At 40.4% G+C, this 20,687-nt stretch overlaps 1 protein-coding gene across 2 annotated transcripts in view, besides 1 other annotated feature; it reads right to left on the bottom strand.

Moving 5' to 3' along the window:
• Window positions 1-20,687, bottom strand: part of CERS6 (ceramide synthase 6) — a 318,863-nt gene that overhangs the window by 194,871 nt on the left and 103,305 nt on the right. For both annotated transcript variants that reach the window (NM_001256126.2, NM_203463.3), the window contains exon 3: window positions 18,942-19,072. In NM_001256126.2, the coding sequence (NP_001243055.1) occupies window positions 18,942-19,072 (131 nt within the window). The remainder of the gene's footprint in view (window positions 1-18,941; window positions 19,073-20,687) is intronic.
• Window positions 18,136-18,185: an enhancer, noted in NCBI's record as "active region_16734". NCBI's record gives its function as "activates an Ori minimal core promoter by ATAC-STARR-seq in GM12878 lymphoblastoid cells {active_cell/tissue: GM12878}" and the evidence as "EXISTENCE:reporter gene assay evidence [ECO:0000049][PMID:35858748]".

Genomic DNA, 20,687 nt, shown 5'->3' with positions numbered 1-20,687 from the left:
AACAAGATGAAGATGTAAAAGCATGTAAAAATGATTATATTAAGCACATATGAAATAAGATCTGGTGGAAAAAAAACAAATGTGTCCGGACTGAATAAAACAAAATCCCACCATATGTTATCTATAAGAAACACATCTAAGCACATTCTACTTGTATTAGGTTTTTAAATAGGCAAAACTAAATTATAGTGTTTGGGAATACTTGTTAAATGGCAAGGATGTGAGTCAAACTAAGACAATGATTAGCGCAGAAGTTGGCATAGAGTATATTTCTTGGGCGGAAAAGTGGCGTTGTGATTATCAAGGGGACTATGGATTGGGGGGCACTAGGGAGATGCAGAAAGTTGAAAATGTGGAGCAGAACGTTCCAGGATGATGGGAAAGCAAGCGCAAAGGCCAAGAGGCAGGAACGAGCCCAGCAAGCAGAGAGCACCTTGACATCACTGACACGCAGCGAGAGGAGCTGGGAGAGATGAAGTCAGGCAGGTCCACAGCCCAGATCTGGACCATGAAGAGCCCTGCAGGCCAGGGTTTCCAGATTGGATCTTAATCCAGAGCACAGCAGAGACGGGGAGGGCTCTCATGGGAGCTCCAGGTGGGTATACCTGTGCCAGGCAAGGGTTGGGGTGATGAGTAGAAATCTCAGAGGAGAAAGGGTGCCTAAGCTAGACTTCAAAGAAATGAGTAAGAATCAAACGTAGAAGAAAAGGGGGTGTGGAGGTCCCTGGGATGGAATGCACAGATAACTCTGAGCAGTTCATTCTTACTAGAGCATGGCACGCAAGGAAGGAATTGGAAAAGAAGTATTGGTGACTCTGGTGGACTTGAGGCCATGGAGAACTAAGAGACAGGATTTTTTTAAAAACACCTTTGCAAGCTCTAGGTCTCTAATTTGAAAGCCCCAACCCATATTAAATACATTACCTTGAACCTATATCCCATATGTTTTATCTATAAAAAAAAAGTGAGGGCTGCTCTCCAGTGCCCCCCCAACTCCACGGGCTCCTTGACAATCACACCACCACTTTTCCTCCCAAGAAATATATACTATACCAAAGTCTTCAAAATAATTTTTACAACTTTCCCTTTAAAAATTAATATCATAAGAAGATGGCAGAATGTGTACCATTGTCAAAGCTGTATGATGGATACATGGGAATTCATTATACTATTCTCTCTTCTTTTGGGCAATCAAAATTTTCATAATAAAAATAACCGAAGGAATTATTGTGTTCCTGTTCAGATTAAACCTTTATTATATTTAACCAAAGGAATTGTTATTTTGTTCTTGTTCAGATTAAAACTTTATTATATTTATATATAAGTCTCTGATTTGAGTTCAGCCATGAAATCATATCTTGTAAACAGAGACATTTAATAATGTTAGGAAAAAAATGTTGAGATAATTATCAGAGGCCGAGGATTACTTTTTAGGCACCAAGAAAATTTACACCCATAGGATTTTACAATGCATCCCTTACGGTTTTTATTTGCTTATTTGGTTGTCTTCCAAGTAAAACCTTTTTTTAAAAGCAAGAAACCTGGATCTAAAACACCTAATGAGGATATAATATGCAAAGTATAAAGAGAAAAAACTAGAAAAGAAATAAAAACATGCTGCTTTTTTTCTTTTCTCTCCTTTCTCTCTTATTTTTATACAGCTTTAGAAAACTGTCTGGTTGGCTGCAGGCATATCTGGATGTGCTTCCTGAAATTAAAAGCTTAAATTAAATAAAAACATCTAATGCATCAAATCATCTAAAACTCAAGAGAAATTCATGTGGCAGCTTAAGCATCTTCAGTATGTGGCACAGAATTTCTTAGGAGAGAAGGGAGTTTAGAATGGAACATCATCCAATTTAACAAAAATTTACTACCTCAGCAGCTTACTGGATAATGAACTAAAAGACACAAAAGTACTTTATGAACATGGTAACGTTTTCCTTCAAGGTGGTCATATGCAAAGTAGGCTCCATAGGTTGGTTTTACATCCTCAGTATCTTCAAAAGCTACAGACTGACTGAGGGACATAAGAGACTTGCCCTCTCTCTTCCTGTAAACAATGTGGAAATGATTAAAAAAAAAAAAAAAGTTTACTGGTTGATATCAGTTCCACAGCCTGGTCTGACAAATGCCTGCAGCTAATCTGCACCAAATATCTGAGCGAGGGCTCCAAACCTCCCAACGCTGCTTTCAACCTAGTTTCCCATTCCTATAGTGATTCATCACACTGTGAAGTTTCCACCCCACTCCTGGGCTTTTGGACTGGGACATAGTGACTTGTGAGTGACCGCACCCTACTGGCACCTACACCTCTTATTCCCCAGAAACGACAATGTACTTGTGTCCCTCGCCCTCACTATCTGCCACCCACATGCAGATAGGCCAAACAAAGAAATTAATCAATACACCTCCAGAAAATTGTTTCACACTTTCTCCCCACTCCTCAAAATGCTAATACTTCCTCCTCCCTCTTCACTCTCCTCAGATGCCCATTTCCTATTTCACTGGGATGATGGAGACAACCAGGAAAGACTTACCTGACTCTGCCTCCCTATGCCCCTGTCTGGACTTCCCTCCTGTTACCACAAATGAATGCTCCGTGCTCCTCTCTAAGGCAACTCCTGACTGTGCTCCACACCCCAGCGCCTCCTGCCTGGGCAAGGCTCGGCTCTTGCCATTTCTCTCCTCTCAGGCATCATCCATTTTTCCCTCTTTGCTGGATCATTCCCATCAGTATACAAACAAGCCATCATTTTTCCCTTGTTAAAAAAAAATCCTTAACCCCAAATTCCTCCTCTAATGACTATTCTCTTTTTCTGGACCTCTCTTTTATAACAAACCTCTCGAGAGTTCCCACATTGCAACTTCTCTCCTCCATTTTGTCTTAAGACCTTCCACCCAAACTGCTCTTGGCAGACACCGAATGACTTGCATGTTGCTACATGGACTGTGAGTAGTGACACAGCCAACGATGAATGTCTTCTTCTCTTGGCCTCCTCACTCACCTATCTCCTTCACAGCCTCCTTTATCAGCTCCTCCTCAATTCCATAACCTCTCATACGAGGCTGTCTCAAGCCTCCATCCTCAGATGTTTCCTCTACTTACCCTCACTCTCTTTGAGATCTCGCACCGTCTCGAGGCTTTACACACTATCTATTCACCAACAACTGCCAAGTCCACACCTCCTCCCTGAACTGTGCATTCACCTATCCAGCTGCCTACAGCACTCCTCTGCATAGATATCTAATAGATACCTCCAGATTCACATGACCAAAATCAAAATCCTGGACTTCTCCCCAGGTTTGCTCCTCCCTCACGCTTCCTCAACCCACTCAAGGGCAACTCCTTCTGTCTAACTGCCTAGGCTAAAACCCAAGCGTCATTCTTGAATTCTCACTTTCTCTCATACCACACAACCAATCTCCCAGAAGATTCTATTTATCTTCAAAATAAAGTGTAATCTGAGGCCTCCACTCAAACAGTTCATGAAAAACATATGTGTATGTATGTATGTATGTGTGTATAGGTGTGTGTGCACACTTGTACAGAAGGAACAGAAAAAACATCAGAGCAAGTATGGCATCATGTTAACAGTGGTGAATCTGGGTGGGTTTATACAGGATTTCTTTATACTATTCTTCAAACTTCTCTATAAGTTTTCAAAATAAAAAAATTGTTTCAAAACAAAAAAATTAAGAGAACTTTAATGTACAAATCTTGATTGGACTGTATCTGGAAAGAAATAGAAATATAAAAGAAATTGAAGGGAAGATAATGGGGAGAATTTGTCTACTGTGTCCTTCCCCAGTGAAATGTAAACCATATCCCAAGCACTTACAAGACCGCTGGGCATAAAGTAGGCACTCAAAATGTATTTGGGCAGTAAATGAAACAAACACATTGCAAATCAGTCCTAGGTGCTGGGTTCTCAAAAAAGGATAAGACTGGCTCTTTGTCATGAAGGAATTTACAGTCTGCAGATAAAAAAGAAATGTTAAGCAAGAGCATTGGGCTGTTGCCATTACTATTAAAGGGGCACACAAATGAGGGGACCATCAACTCTGCTTGGGAAAAAGAGAATGGGGGTAGGAGGCGTCCTTCATGGAGCAGGGGAGGCCACACAGCTTATGATTTGCTCTCCTCTGATGTCCCTGTCTCCTATTTCACTGGGATGATGGAGACAACCAGGAGAGACTTACCTAACTCTACCTCCCTATGTCCCTGCCTGGACTCCCTTCCTGTTACCACAAATAAACGCTCTGTGCTCCTCTCTAAGGCAACTTCATTAGACACTAAGTACCATTCCTGGCATAGAGTCGTCACCCAGTAAATATCCACGGTTTCCTAAATGAAGGTGAACTGAGTCTTAATGGAGAGGCAGGTATTTGTCACAGTAGGGGAAGGGCATCCCAGGTTGGGGCAGGTGGGCAGAACTTGAGCAAAGGCCAAGGGGTGAGAAGAAGCATGGCAGCCCCACCTGACAGCACAAGCCAGAGAGAAATGGATTGTTATAAATTCTCATAAAATTCTTAGGAAAAGAATAAAAACTTGTTCAAGAAGGGAGTCCACACAGAGAAGGCCCTTCTTTGCTTCAGAGGCAATCACAGTGCTACTATAGTGCTATCACTAGTATAATAGCTAACATTTATTATGTGCTTACAAGGTGATATGGTTTGGCTCTGTGTCCCCACCCAAATCTCATCTCAGAATATAATCCCCACATGTTAAGGGAGGGATCTGGTGGGAGCCAATTGGTTCATGGGGGCAGTTTGCTGATAGTGAGTGAGTTCTCACGAAAGCTGATAGTTTTAAAGAGAGTGAGGAAGTGGCACTTCCTCACTCTCACTCTCCCCTTCCACCATGTAAGACGTGCCTGCCTTGCTTTCCCTTGCCTTCTGCCATGATTGTAAGTTTCCTAAGGCCTCCCAAGCCAAGAGAAACTGTGAGTCAATTAAACCTCCTTTCTTTATAAATTACCTAGTCTCCAGTAATATCTTTATAGCAGTGTGAAAACGGACTAATACATAAGGCACCAGTGCTCTATGTGTTTTGAACAATTCTAATGGCCCCATTTTAAATTCAAGGTACTATTTTGACTCAGGTTAAGTTTCAAGAAATCGAGGCTGAGGAGGCTGGTTAGTGCTAGAGACAGGCAGGTAGAGCTGGCAGTCAGAGCTGTCCTCTTGGCCTAAGATAGAAACCTCCCAGTTCTACCACAAGGACCTCACCCTACTGTTTAGACAAGTAAGGAACCACAGTTTCAAATTACATGCCACTTTAAAAGTCAGAAAGCCAGAAAATCATGTTCTCAACAAGAAGCTTTTCTTTAAAGAAGGAAAAGAAGAAGAAAATAAAACTATGAGCTTTAACTCCTCCAACAAAAATCATCATATCAAATCTGCCAAATAATTATACCTTCAAACATTTGGGGATTTAATAGAAACAAAGCCCCGATAAAAGGCATGGTACTAATGTATACCCAAGAGTATTAAGCAAGCTTAGAATGGTATTATTTGATTAGGTAGGTGAATTCAATTCATTTGGCAGCCCTTAATACTAATTGAATTGATCAAAATTAATTAGTTTTCTTGAGCTCTGACTATGTGTTTGGCAATATCGTAGGTGCTTTACACGAATCATTTTATTTAATCACTATATTAAATAACAACTTTATCAGGTTTTTAAGGTTATCGCCTTGTTTTATGGATAAGGAAATGAAGGATTGTTTGTTCATCCTAAGGATGATGATAAAATAAAGAGATATTACCATTTATGTATCAAGGGAAGAGATCCTGTTTTCCCATCTAGCAGCAAATACAGAACCCAGCAGATAGTAAATGCTTGACACACACACACACACACACACACACACACACACACACACACACAAAACTTATTGAGCCACGTAAGTATTGGAAAGAAACAGAAAGAACAACTTACTGTCATGGAGTAAGAGAAGCTTTTGGGTTTTAATACGCCAAAGATTTAGCCAGGATTCATGTAAACGCTTCATAATTCCAGATAAGACAATATTTTATTTTTAAATCAATCCAGTGGAAATGATGCACATAAGTTCAAGTCTTATTTCAGAACTAGAATCAGTAAGAACTGAAATTAGTTCAAGTTGGACACATTTCCCCGACTAAAATGGGAGAGGAAACAGTAGAGCAATACTATCTCAATGAATAATGGAAGGGAAATACGAGTGTCCACTGAAAAGTACATCTAAAGGACAACGTTAGAAGAAATTCTGCATTTGGCTACTTCTGGAGATCTGTTTGGACCTATCAACTAGTGCTACAGGTGCAGTTTTAATCCCTTCCTACCTTCTCATAAAATACTACATAGCCTACATTCCTCATACACTGAGAATTTCTCACTCAGTTTCTATTTTTCTGCAAACCATATCCCAGGCTTCAGATCACTTAGTGGGACCTGATACAAGCCAAAACCACTCCTACTATTGGGGCCTGCTCCAACCCCTCACCTACTCCTGCTCCACCCCCAGCCACCCACAGAGAAGGAAAGGAGAACTGAGAGAAGGTTCCATGACAGATCTGCATGAAAGCTGGGTTCCACTGATAATGAGCACCAAAGGTCCTAAATAAGGCATTTCCAATCTCAGTGACTCCCGGCACCTAGAACAATGATAAACACTGCAAGGCTTAATGGTATATGTGCCAAGGTTGGAATGTCTGGCAGAATCCTACTACAGGATGGTCACTTGTCCCATGGGTATCACTAGATAAACACTGTTCCTTTGAAAAATAAAAATAATATAAATTGTAATATAACCCACTTAGCCTATATACTTCAATAGTAACTCTGTCCCCCAAATCTATCATAAAATTTATTCACAAGAAGCTCTCTACATTGACCAATTCTTAGATTTGTTGATTTCAAATCTGGTTTGCTACCCAACAAGCACTCACTCATTTGCAATATGATGACTCAGCCCTGTCCCCAGGGAAAGCTAGATGCTCCTGTTGCTGTCTGCTAAATTATTGTGCCTGATTCCTCTTTAAACTCTGAGCACCAGAAAACAGTGATTTTATCCTTTTTTTCCCCCATAGGTTACTGGGGTACAGGTGGTGTCTGGGTACATGAGTATGTTCTTTTGTGGTGATCTGTGAAATTTTGGTGCCCCAGTCACCCCTTTTTTCTCCATTTGGTCCATGTAACCACCATTGAAAATTCAGCAGTGTCACCTCCTCCAGAAACCCTTTCCTGCCTCCTCCTTCCTCTTCTCAGTCTTCCCTAGGACCATTTGAAAGAATAAACTCAAGCTTTCTCTAATTAGAGTCAGGCCTCTAGTCCCTAGAGATTCACTTCAATCCCTGAAGTCCAGTTAATTGACTCATTCACTGGACATTTTGGGGGGCCTTACAAAGCACCAGACATTGTGCTGAGTGGTGGGGATGAAAAGATAAATAAGACACAGTCCCAGAACTCAAGGTATTGACGGTCAAACAGCAGAGATGGATGCAAACAGCGAACACGGCAAGTCTCCAAGTGCTCTAGTAGAGAACAACTAGAAGTGCAATATGGGTGGCAAGGAGAAAGCAACAAATTTAACTCCAGCCCTTCATAAGTTGGAGGTGGAAAGGAAAGAGAAAGGAGGCTGTCATGAGCAAATAAAAGACCAAACTGCCCCCTTTCCATGTTTGCTCTGCAGGCAGTAAAATAATACATTATTTTCTATTATATAATACATAATATTATATATATACGTAAAATATTATATTATTACTGAATTTCTCTAACATTGTGCTTCAGCTGGGTACAAATCCCAGCTCTGCTGCTTAGTAGCTGTGTGGTGTTGGGTCAGGTATTCCACCTCTCTTTACTTCTCTTTATTTGTGGGTGAGAAGAACTTTTAATATCTAACATATTACAAAGGATTGTTATTTAAATGTAAAGGCTCCATCACAGCAACTGAACTGTATAAATACCTCAATAAATACTTCTTTCCCCTCCCTTCTCAGGGTCTAAGTCTCCTGCCAGCATTAATGCCCACTACATCTGCAAGAAAACCTATTATATACTAATATGTAAGCTGAAAATATGCAACTTCATTACAACTGTGGCTAAAGGCATACAGGAGTTAGAGAACTTTGCAGAATTAAGGAATATGGCCAAGACTTGAGCCTCTAATGCCAATCCTGCTGTTAACCTTGGCCTGTGTGTCATGGTGTACCAAGTGTTTAATGCTGCAACATCCCCTCAATCACAGTATATCCTCCATGGAACAGTACACTAGCTTTTCTACACAGTTGAACCCTAACAGCAGTAAACAGCCTCCCTTGTCCACTGCTAGGACATTGTAAATAGGCAATATAAGAAATAGTGCCCAAGTCTACAGTAATTTGCCAGCAGCTCACCTTGCAGTCAATAATAACTGAATTGTAAATTTAAAAATAATTAAAAGAGTATAATTGGATTGTTTGTAACGCAAAGGATAAACGCTTGAGGTGATGGATACCCCATTTACTCTGTGATCTGATTATTACATGTGGCATGCCTATGTCAAAATATCTCACATACCCCATAAATACATATACCCATTTATGTACCTACAAAAATTTTAAAAATCAAATAGAATAAAAGTAGTTGGCTCCAATTGCTTTTAGTTAAGTTTCCTATCATGTGGAGGGCTTATTATGAATTTGGATGTGGGAAGGCCTACAAATAAACCTCACAAACCTACTTTCAATAGTCAATTGGAATCTGCTCAAATCATTCCAACTTGAGAAATGGCTTGATACCCTGTTACTTAGTCCAAATGCCCATCCTCCACTACCACCATCTTATGCACAAACTCCTTCACCCTTACATTCCTAGGTGTTATATTCGAATATCAGGAGCCATGTGCAATGCGCCAAGTTTCAGGACAAATAGACAAATTAGTAATGGTTGAAGATTCTTTTAATCCTTGCCAGGATGTGGTTACCATGAGCTAATAACCGCAAGGCGAATAGCCAGGAGGAAATCAAACACTCCAGCTCCAAGCAGAAGGCACCTACCCCTATAACAATGGGAAGTGACTGCAAAGGAGGGAGGAAGGAAGCATGAAAGAGAAGGAGAGCAAGAGAGGGCAAGCCAGACGGGATTCCCAAGAGGAAGTAACAGAGTGCTTCCTTTTCAACAATCTAAAATGTAATTCTCTTGATGGCAAAGTAAGACACAAGGCCCAGAATAACCCATAACTGGAGCCATAAGGAAGGGGCCCTAGAAGGAAACCACTTTGCTTGAGTATTACAATTGATGGCTCCCTGTAAGATATTAAATAACTTTACCAATGCGCAGAATCAATTGTCCCTGTGAGTTCTGCAAGGTCAGAAATTGTTGCTTACTCAACTTTGCAACCACATTTGAAAGGGAACCAAGCACTGAGAGATGCACATTAGACAAACATCCCCTCACTTAATCCCAAATGACTTTATAAATAGTAGCTATTATTCTCCTTTCACAGAAGAAAAATCTGGGGCTTGGCAACATTAAAAGACTTGCTAGGGGTAACAGAGCTTGAGCCAGACCATGAACCAGGTAGATTCGATTCCCACTCTCAAATTTGTTCAAGATCAGTTGCCTCTTGTACTTCTCCTGCACACAGGAGGTAACCAATAAATATTACATTTAAGAGCAAACTCCTGTACCCAGAAGTCACGCTGACCTCCTAAGGCTGATCAGACTGTTCAGGCCCCAGCAGAGGTGGCTTTACTAAAGCCAGCACCACAGAGGACCAGGCTTTGTTCCTCTGTCCCTCCTGGTGCAGGCAAGCCGTGTCCTCTTCAGAATCACCTGGGTAAATTTAAAATCTCTGAAGTTCAAAGACATTCACTGTGTATTCTGACATTTCTCATGTGGTGCTTCAAAAGTCCTGGCTTCTGGAGGCACAGTGGGCATCACTCCCTACTGAAGTAGGACACCTTTCTTCATCCACTTCTGTCACATCGCTACACAGTAGCAAGCCAAAGGTGCTGAGGCTCTGAACTCGCGTTGGTTTTTCATCTTTTTCTTGTGCGTGAGTAATGCCCAAGTTGATAGTCCTGTGAATCCACATGGATTCCGCCTCCTTAGGGTTCCACAGAATCAGAGCTTCGTCCTAAATTGAGAATCTGCTCTCCTTGCATCTTCTTGGATCTCTCCTCCTCAAAATGATCGACATCAGAGCCACCTCTCTTAGGTAGCATGCTTGTGGCTCTGAGGAAGCCATGTGGCCAGGGCATGGCTGTGACAGACTAATAGCTATTTGCTGCTGCTCCTGATACCCCAAAGTGAGTAACAACAGAAACCGACAACCTTCAGGCAGCTGACACTCACTACCCCCATACCATGGGCAAGACATCTTTCTAAACACTTTATTTATATATATTAATTCATCTAGTCTTCACAACAACCCTATGAAGCAGACACTATTAATGTGCCCATTTTACGAATCCAGTGGCCAGCAACCCTCCCAAATACCCGAGAGGTTTTTATCAGAGAGAAGACTCCAATGCAGACTCCCAGGCTCCACAGCCCACTGCCTTCACCACCATACTGACCCACTGGTCCTGCTACCAGGCTTGTGGTAAAAGTGTGAATGTCTTCTAATGTGAGCCTAACACGGATTTCATATTTGCTTATATCTGATTTTGTCTGCCAGAAATACTAGGTGAACACAGAGAACTGAACCAGGCTGAACTGAATGGCCTAGGAGTATATATGCACACACGCGTGTGCACGCGCACACACACATTCACACTCTCTTCAAATATGTCCAAGCTACCTTAGTCACACCAGTTATGAGCCACACGCATCCGGCATTGCAACTTTCCCTCTGATTTCAGATCTTCCTCCTTCCAGCACTTCACAGTAACTCACTGCCACCCTTCTGACATTGTTACAGACTGAATTGTGTGCCCCCAGAACACATACGTTGAAGCCCTACCTCCCAATGTGACTGCCTTGGGAGATGAGGCTGTTAATAAGGTAATTCAGGTTAAATTAGGTCATAAGGGTAGGACTCTATTCCAATATGATTGGTGTTCTTATAAGAAGAGGAAGACACACCAGGGATATGCACACACGGTGGAAAGGCCAGGGAAAGAAGGCCCTGGAGAAACCAAACTTATGTCACCTGGGACTTTTAGCCTCCAGAACTATGAGAAAATACATTTCTGTTAAGCCACACAGTCTGCGGTATTTTGTTATGACAGTCTGAGCTAACACAGCAACAGCCACTACAAGCAAATGTTAGGTCCATTTCAAGGTCAAGTGCCGTATTTATTGTAGTAGCTATGTATTTCTTAGCCATTTAATGTGTATAAAACTGCTCCTGTTTTTATTAGGTTCCTAGCTTATTTTCAAAGTGTCACTGATGAAATTTCTGAGTGTTGTGTCCCTAACCCATTCTTCTCACAAACCCTAAGTTATTTTCTTTTGTTGTGCGATTTTGCATGGTGTGGCCATTTTTAGGAATGCAGCATATGTCATATGACAGCACAAGTGACTATACTACTGCCCACAGGTCAATGACTTACAGATCCTGAAGATGAAGCATAAAACATAACCTTTCTACAGCCGTCTTCAGGCACTCTGATGAGGCTGGTTCTATTAAAAACATTTCAAGAAGGGCAGGTGCCAAGTACAGACACACATGATGTGTAAGCATTAGTGTGGGCACCTGTATAAAATACGACACTGTATAAGCAGTAAATGATAAAGGATGTATTTCTGGATGGTATGCTTTGAAGTCTTTCCCCCTACAATTCTGTATGAACATTATGTAGACTTTTATAAATCCTCTACAATCAAAATCAATTATAAGGATTTGCATGATTCTGCTCTGAATCAGAAACAAATAACTTTTAAAATACATTAAGCAACAACAAGAAATAGTACATAGGTTCAAAAATAACAGACTGGGTTAAATAATAATATGATGCCTTAATAAATTCAGTTATTCCTCTACATTCTGTCCTCTTTATTACCATCCAATTCCATGTTGAACAAAATTATTGGAAAAAAATATTATTTAAAAAGCCTTTAGAAATTTAGACTTTACATAACAACTGACAACTCAAATGTAGGCAGACCACAGCAGTAGCTAATGTGCAGCCAGCCTGACCAAGGTATGGCCTGTCTTGTATTTTTAGCAAAAATCTCTTTTCCTTAATTAGCCAACACACATGCATTAGAGGCCTAGCCATATGCCATCAAGGAATGTGTGAGGCTTGTTCTAAATGGAAAACCTGAGTTCACCGGCCACAGATGGTAGGTCTAGAATAGAACGAGGGGGACAAGGTTTCAAAGGCTTACTCGAGGCAAAAGAGCAGACTGTCCATAGTCCGGTTCATCAATCTTCAGAATTTCTGTAATGAAAGCAATGCTGCCTTGAGGATACTAACAGCTTTGAAGAGTGCCTGGCTAGGCTAAATGAAACTGCACACCATCAAGGCACCATATCCCAGGAATACTGGAGACAGGCACACCAATTACAGAACTATTCACATTTTTCTATTAAATGGCAAAACTCTGAGAAATGGATGACTGTGCCTAGCACTAGGAGACGATATTCTCTTCCTTGAAACTCTGAAAGAACCACAAATAGTATTATAACCCTAAAGCAGGGTTCTGCAAACTATGGCTAGAGGGCCAAATCCAGCCTGCCATCTGTTTTTGTATGGCCCATGGGTTAAGAATAGCTTTTATTTTTTGTAATGTATTTTTTAAAGATAATACTTTACAACACATGAAAATGACATATTCAAATTTCAGTATCCATAAATACACTTTTACTGGAACACAGCCATGCACATTTGCATCATCTCTGGCTGCTTTTATGCTGCAGCAGAATTGTAATTGCAACAAAGTCCATATGATCTAAAATATTTATTTCATGGCCATTTATAGGAAAAGTTTGCTGACCTCTGTCCCAAAGCTAAAACTGACCTGAATACAACCCACAGATATAAAACTGTTTAAGGTAATAGTCTTGCACACCAAGACATTCACTGAGCAGTGACTTGGACTATAACAATGTACTTTGAATTACAGAAGTTGTTCTCCAAACCAGGGACTGTTTTGTATTAATGGAAAATAACCACAACTATCACCACAACAGAAACAAAACAGCTCAACCCTGTACTTTTCAAGAACTAGAGACTGTCCACCAATCTTATGATTTTTTCCCCAGACTTATAATCAGCATTTACACATTGCTGATCATGTATCCTAGTACTGAAAAAACAAAGATGCCATTTCTCTAGAAGATAATAGTTTCTTATTCCCCCCTTCAAAAACTGCATTCATTATGAGGAGAATTTTGGCAGTAAATTTTGTAACTGATGCTCATGTCATGGTCTGATAGAGAAAATAATCAAAATTGAATTTTCTCTCTGGCAAAACTTTGTCCATCACCAGAGTATGGAATATATGGAAATGGTTTACAAATATTCAGGGTTTTTTTTTTTTTGCAAGTAGGTGGCTGTTTATGAAAACATGTTGAACATATTCCCCATACTATTTCCTCAGATAAAAGACTGATCTGAAATAAAGGAATATAAGAGACTCAACTGCTTGTTTCCTATATGACCTCACTTCCCTTCCCCTGTCATCAATTATTAGGCTCCACTTTCCATGAAGGTCACAAGATAGCACTGATAATTTATAAACAGCTGTAAAAACTGCTATTTAGATTCAAGGTGACCAAGTTAGTAGCATGAAGGCAATTGGTTAACCCATTCATTTTTCAATGATGAATTAGCTCGTGTTCAATGGAATCACAAACTAAGAAAAATCACAGGGCTTCTTTGCAGAAATAATCACAGTTTCGAAAGGGTCCCAGGTTTTGATGAGTCTGCTGCCACTATACAGAAGCATACAAATATGGCAGCATTGGGGGAAAGTTTTAATCAGTATCAATTCTAAAATGGAATTCCTAAAGAAAAGGGAATCTTAAGCTGTCATCTTACTCAACAAACTCCGTAACTTCAGCAGCATAGGGAGTAAGCTCCAATTCAAATCACTGAGTAGATTTTCAGATTACATATGGGAGATTCATCTTTCCAATCTTTGAGACTGCTTAAATAAAAGCCCTGTATTATATTTCCTCCCAGACCTGTGCTATGAAATGTACTGCACGATACTCAAAAATGATGAGCACAGGCAGGGTCCAAATGAAAGGAATGCCATTTATTCTGACATCTTATCTCTGCTTCTTCTGTTACATCCAGCAAATATATTTAATATCTTATTTATTTTATATTATCCTGAGTGATAAAAACCCACCACTTGGATGCAATTGTCAGAGAAGGATGATACAGCTTCCCCAGCCCAAAGGCATAATCCCAACCGGCACCTGCTTCCATTCGGAACCAGTTGCTTCTCAAATGTCTCACATGACATCTCATTTTTATAAATTCTTCATTCTCTCTTGAAATTCTCTATTTCAGTTGCCAATAAGAATCTGAATGCTTCTGGAAGAAGTATTCATCAAAACTGACATGACTGTGAATGACTGACTTCAAGCAAGAGAAAAAAAATCATGTCAATGTATTAGCATTTTACTCGCTAAACAGCTTCTACTCATTCCATCTGCATGTAATGTGTGTGCCAGAAATTGGACATGCCTGCAGATGCTTACAAGCACAGTTTGGCTTGCATACTGGTGCTATTCCACACTGCTGAAAGATGAAATACAATTATCCTGAAGGAATTCTATATTTTGAAAAATAGGAACTTATATAATAGAAAAATTATATAGATCCTTTACATTTTGACCCTCAGGCAACGAGCTCCAAATTTGTGTTCTCGTTTTCTAATTTCACCTTTTAGTATTTCTGAACAGCAACTGTCTTTCTTCTTAACCAGGGATGTGTGTCATAAGCACTTGGGGCATTTTTTTCCATGATATACATGTTCAGACTCCACCTGAGTCATCATCCTGACACCCTGGGATGGGGCTCGGGCACGTGTATTTTGAAAACATCACTAGGTGATTGCGAAATGCATCCTTAGTTAATAACAACTATTCTAGATCTTTTTTTATATAGGTAAGTAAGTATGACACACACATTTGCATACACAGACCACTATAATTCTACTTTATCCCTCACGGTGTTCTCTAAATGTTCTCCTTTGCCATCCCATTCTTTCCTCTGAATTTCTGTCTTTAAAATTGTCATGGAGCTTTCCATAGTCAGGTAATTTTCCTAGACAAATTTTATGCTAAGGCAGTATATATTAGGCACTCATTTATAGGGGCAAAGTGACAAATGTGATCAGCAACTCTTTCCAAAACAATGCCATTTTAACACACAGTCATAACAAATTATTTATTTGGCAGAGTCCTGTTGAGAAATGAAAGAACAAGATGTGACCCTGTGGTCTTCAAGCAACACAGAATTGGAATTGAAATAGATAGGCAAGTTAAGTAACCACATAAGGCAGCATGTGATTCAGGGTTAAATTCCTAGTACTCTCAGGATGCAGGGGTAGCTGTGCTCACTCCAGCCCCAATAGTCAGGCCACACTTCAGAGAGGGCCTGGGATTTGAAGAATGGTGAGGGGATAAATGGGTAAGGCAGAGGAAGTTCCTGGCCTGGAACACCATACACAAGGCAGGAAGGAAGAAGGCACAGACAGTAAAAACACAACCCTCTAGAAGGAAGATGTCATTTGGGTGACTGACATTAAACAAGCAAAAGACAGATTCTAGTTATCAGGCTCAGGGACCTAATATTTATCCTATAGTTGCCTTAAAATCACCAAAGTTTTAAAGTGTCACAACATGGGGATAGTAGTATTTTAGAAAAATAATTTGGGATTTTTGGTAGCAAACAAAATGTCTATGTGTATGCAAGATAAAAAAAATAAGGAGACATATGAAAGCATATTGGGCTATAATGGCGAATTTACAAAGAATTAATAGAACTCAGTGGCTGATTGACTTGAGTTTCCAGCCTATGACAAAACGGAAGCATAAAAACAATAGGAAAAATAAAGTCAGGAGTGGAAGCAAATTAGAACTGCCAGTTGGAGCCCGCAGAACGATGCCTTAGAAGAAACATCTGCACTGTACACATGGCTTTGGAAGAAACTGGTGAGAGGAAATGATTTTAACACACAGAATGGAAGGTAGGGCAAGGGAAAAATGAGATTGAAGACTAAATCTGGAGTGTCATTAACACATTAAAGACCACACAGCAAACACAGAATAAATGATGCAAACAAAAGACCTTGGAAAGGCAGGAGAATCTAGTGGCAACTCAGAAACCAAGGAAGAAGAGAGTTTCAAAACAAAACTTCATCAATACTATATCATACAACAGAAAGATGAAAGGCCACTGACATTGACCCAGTTCTAATCCCAGCAAACCCCCCGTGCACCCCAACCTACAGTTGATCCTTTCCCTTTAATCTTTACTGACTATCCATATCAATCCTACAACACACATATCTGGTTATTTTCTTTTTTTGAGATGGAGTCTTGCTCTGTCGCCCAAGCTGGAGTGCAGTGGTGCAATCTTGGCTCACTGCAAGCTCCACCTCCCGGGTTCATGCCATTCTCCTGCCTCAGCCTCCCGAGTAGCTGGGACTGCAGGCGCCTGCCACCACATCTGGCTAATTTTTTGTATTTTTAGTAGAGACGGGGTTTCACCATTTTAGCCAGGATGGTCTCGATCTCCTGACCTCATGATCCGCCCGCCTCGGCCTCCAAAAGTGCTGGGATTACAGGCGTGAGCCACTGCACCTGGCCCCATATCTGGTTATTTTCTAATATCTATCTTTGACCTACACATACTCAGATATTATGTCTTATTTCCATAACACTATTACAAATTTCTTGAGGGAAGAAATGATGTTATTTTATGCACCATCTCTTCCCCATCATTGTGCCTCCACATTGCCATACCACTAGCAATCATTTAGAAGCATTTTTAATTGATCATAACTATGACTGTCTTATTTATTGTGGTATGCACATAATGACCTGCTGAATTCATGGAGAAGAGATAGACACTGCTCTAATGTTAGTACTTGCTACACAAAGTGTGACCTATAGACCAATGGCACCAGCATCATGTAGAAACTTGTTAAAAATGCTGCCATCCCAGACTAAGTACATCAGATTCCGCATTTTAACAAGATCCCCAGGTGACTGATGCTTATCTTAAAATCTCAAATACAATAGTATTTGAGAGAAACTGGAGTAGACTCAGCATAGTAGGGGCTGGCACCAAGTCACCAAAGAAGTTAGTCAGAGGAGGGAAAGATGGCACATGACTTTCAGCATGTAGACATGTGCTGAGACCCAACTTCACCCTTGCTCAGACTCGTGGCTCAAAACCAGAGCCCAGGCCCTTTGGATATATGGCAGGGCCAAGCTGGGAAGCAACTGTGGCTTTTGACCAAGAGCCCAGATACATAAATCCTTCTCCCATAAACTGCCAGTAAGTTCATTTATTGAGAGGGCTTTGCTGATTGTATCCACCAGGTTGGAGATACAGGAAGGCCACTGTCTCCTGCCTGCCCCTGGGAACTGAATGTCTCAGTATAAAACCCGACTATACATTTGTTCAATTCTGAGATAGGAGAAAAGCTGCCCTATGGTGGGAGGCGAGACATGTTTGCAGCAATGCTGCCTTGTTATTCTTTACTCCACTGAGATGTTTGGGTGGAGAGAAACATAAATCTGGCTTACGTGCATGTCCAGTCATAGTACCTTCCCTTGAACTTAATTCTAACATAGATTCTTTTGCTCACATGTTTTTTGCTGACCTTCTCCTTATTATCACCCTGCTCTCCTACTACATTCCTTTTTACTGAAATCATGAAAATAATAATCAATAAAAACTGAGGGAACTCAGAGGCTGGTGCCAGTGCAGGTCCTTGGTGTGCTGAGTGCCGGTCCCCTGGGCCCACTGTTGTTTCTCTATACTTTGTGTCTTCTTTCTTTTCTCAGTCTCTCATCCCACCCGACTAGAAATACCCACAGGTGTGGAGGGGAAGGTCACCCCTTCACACTGAAACACTTTTTTCACATAATTGAAAGCCAAAGCTGAAAATGCAGCTCCAACCCCAAAGAGAAAGGGCCTGCAACTAAGAGAGTTACACCGAAAGCACTACTGTTTAAATGACCAGACGTCAGGAAACAGCTCCCGAAAGAAGAAATTGAGGGACTGTTAGAAGACATAGGAAGAGTTACACCCAAAAGATGAAGACCACATAGGGTAATGACTCTCCAGGCACGTCTTCCCTTTCTTGGGGATGTTCTCAATGTTTCAATGTATTTTTCTCTGGTTTTCCTATAGGTAAGTGCATGAAGTATCACTACTTCAAAATATCACTGTGCTGGAAGAGCTCTCTGTGGGTCCTTTAATATATTTAACAGCCTTATTGATATATAATTTATACACTATATAAAGTTCACATTTCAGAGATGGAAGAGACTTCAATTCCATCCCCCAACTTCAAGCAATGCTTCATTAAACTCACCCAGAAATATAATAGAGCCATTTCTTAAATCTCCAGGAATACAGAAGATTGTCACGACCCTCTGATAATATATCCTAATATCTCAGTTTTTATTAGTAGGAAGAACCTAAGTTGCCTTTGCCTTTACTAAAATTCAAACTACCCACATCTATAAAAGTAACAACTTTTAATGCTGTATTTCAAAGATGACTGATTAAAAAGACCATTGTAGATCCTTTTATAATATGCTTACTTTGTAGAAACTCCATTAAGAAGTGAAATTTATTTACTGTATCCAAAGGGGAAGTCACAAATTCTTACAAACTACTGTTTCCTGTGTTTTTCCTGAACTATTTTCCCACCAGATTGCAGCTTTTTAAGGGCTGCTGAAGCCTGCACAGATCTTTTATTTTTCACCTCAGGGTTGGCATGAGTACTTAGGTCTTTTCTTTCAAAAAGAAAAACAGCAACTTACATGCTCTCACAGAACCTCGTCAGCGTGCTTGGCTTCTCCTGATTGCGTCTTTGTCGAAACCAGCGCTGAATGCTTCGAACATCCCAGTCCAGTTGCTTGGAGAGGCCTTCCAATCTCTTTTCATCAGGATGCTATGAAACAAGGTACCAGAAAAATAATTTTCAATCCATTTTCATTTTCACTATAAACAGATCTGCCCTTGTCTATATCTGAGAGGTTTTTTTCCCCCTATTGTTTACTATCTGCTACTGAGATTTCTATATTTACCTCTGAGGACCGAGGCCTTCCACTAGCAGCATGAACAAAAATAACCACTAGGACAAAAGAAGTTACTCATGAAACAACATTTAGAAACATGAATCTTGCTCTAATGCTTGCACTTCTCCTCATCAGCAATGTGCTTCCCTAAGGGCAACAAAGATTCAATGGAACATCCAACAAACTGAGTCAGCCTCATCAGCCTTCAAAGGAAGGGAGTCCATTGAAGGTAAATTTGCAAAGAGGTATCATTCAAATATCTCACTTTCTCAACAACAACAACAACAACAAATGCTACCCAATCATCACATATCAGGATAATGTAGTAGAGACAAAAAGCATGGAAAAAAATCCTAAAGTGCCTCATTTAAGCCTAAGGTACAATTTTTATCAAACACAGTTTATCTTTCTTCCCCTTCTCATATCCTTTGTCCCCATTTTTCACACATTCCTCTTCTATTCGTTTTCTTGGTCATCCCTTTTTAACTGTATCCCACATCGAGTCTTTTACTAAGACTATGCATTACTTGAAAAAAGTACACTTGGTGAAGCGGCAAGAGATGGCCCTGAAATGATAGGCACTTGTTCAATTCCTCACTCCATTGACCTCTCTGAGCCTCAGTTTCCTCATCTGTAAAAAAGAAAAGGTTGTTTACCAACCTAAATTATATTGCAACAAGAACCAAATGTGAAACTGTATGTACAACTCAGTAAATGTTAATTTTCCTCTTTCCCATCTGATACGGTTTGGCTATGTCCCCACCCAAATCTCATCTTGAATTCCCACAGGACCCAGCGGGGGAGGTACTAAATCATGGGGGCAGATCTTTCCTGTGCTGTTCTCATGATTGTGAATAAGTCTCACAAGATCTGATGGTTTTAAAAAGGGGAATTTCCCTGCACAAGTTCTCTTTTGTCTGCCACCATATGGGACATGCCTTTCACCTTCCGCCATGATTGTGAAGTCTCACCAGCCATGTGGAACTGTAAGTCCAATACATTTCCTTCTTGTTGTAAATTGTCCACTCTCAGGTTTGTCTTTATCAGCAGTGTGAAAATGGACTAATACACTATCCCTCCCCTCTATTCAATGTGTTAGAGAATGTCTAGCCAACAATCACATGAGGGTGATCTACTACCCAACAAAACTAAGCCACGTGACCTCCATTCCTTTATTATATCTTTGCTTAATATTAACTATGTTTATTTAATCTTTCTTTGATTTGATACTAATGCTTTAATGTAAGTGATCAGGAAAAATAGGGGTAAGGAGAAGGCACAATGACCAAACTTCAAGTAATAAGGGTGAAATATATATATATATATATATGATACCTTTCTAAAAGCAGCTCAAGCAGCTCAAGGGGTCAGTGCTATGGACTGAATGCTGCGCTCCCCAAAATTTGTATGTTGAAACCCACATGCCCATTGTGATGGTATTAGAAGCTGGAGCCTTTGAGAGGTAATGAGATCATGAGGGTGAACCTC

Source organism: Homo sapiens, chromosome 2 (genome assembly GCF_000001405.40).
Source record: "Homo sapiens chromosome 2, GRCh38.p14 Primary Assembly".
NCBI classification, from domain to species: domain Eukaryota; kingdom Metazoa; phylum Chordata; class Mammalia; order Primates; family Hominidae; genus Homo; species Homo sapiens.
Note: the sequence above shows the minus strand (reverse complement) of the source record. Positions and strands in the feature narration are given on the sequence as shown.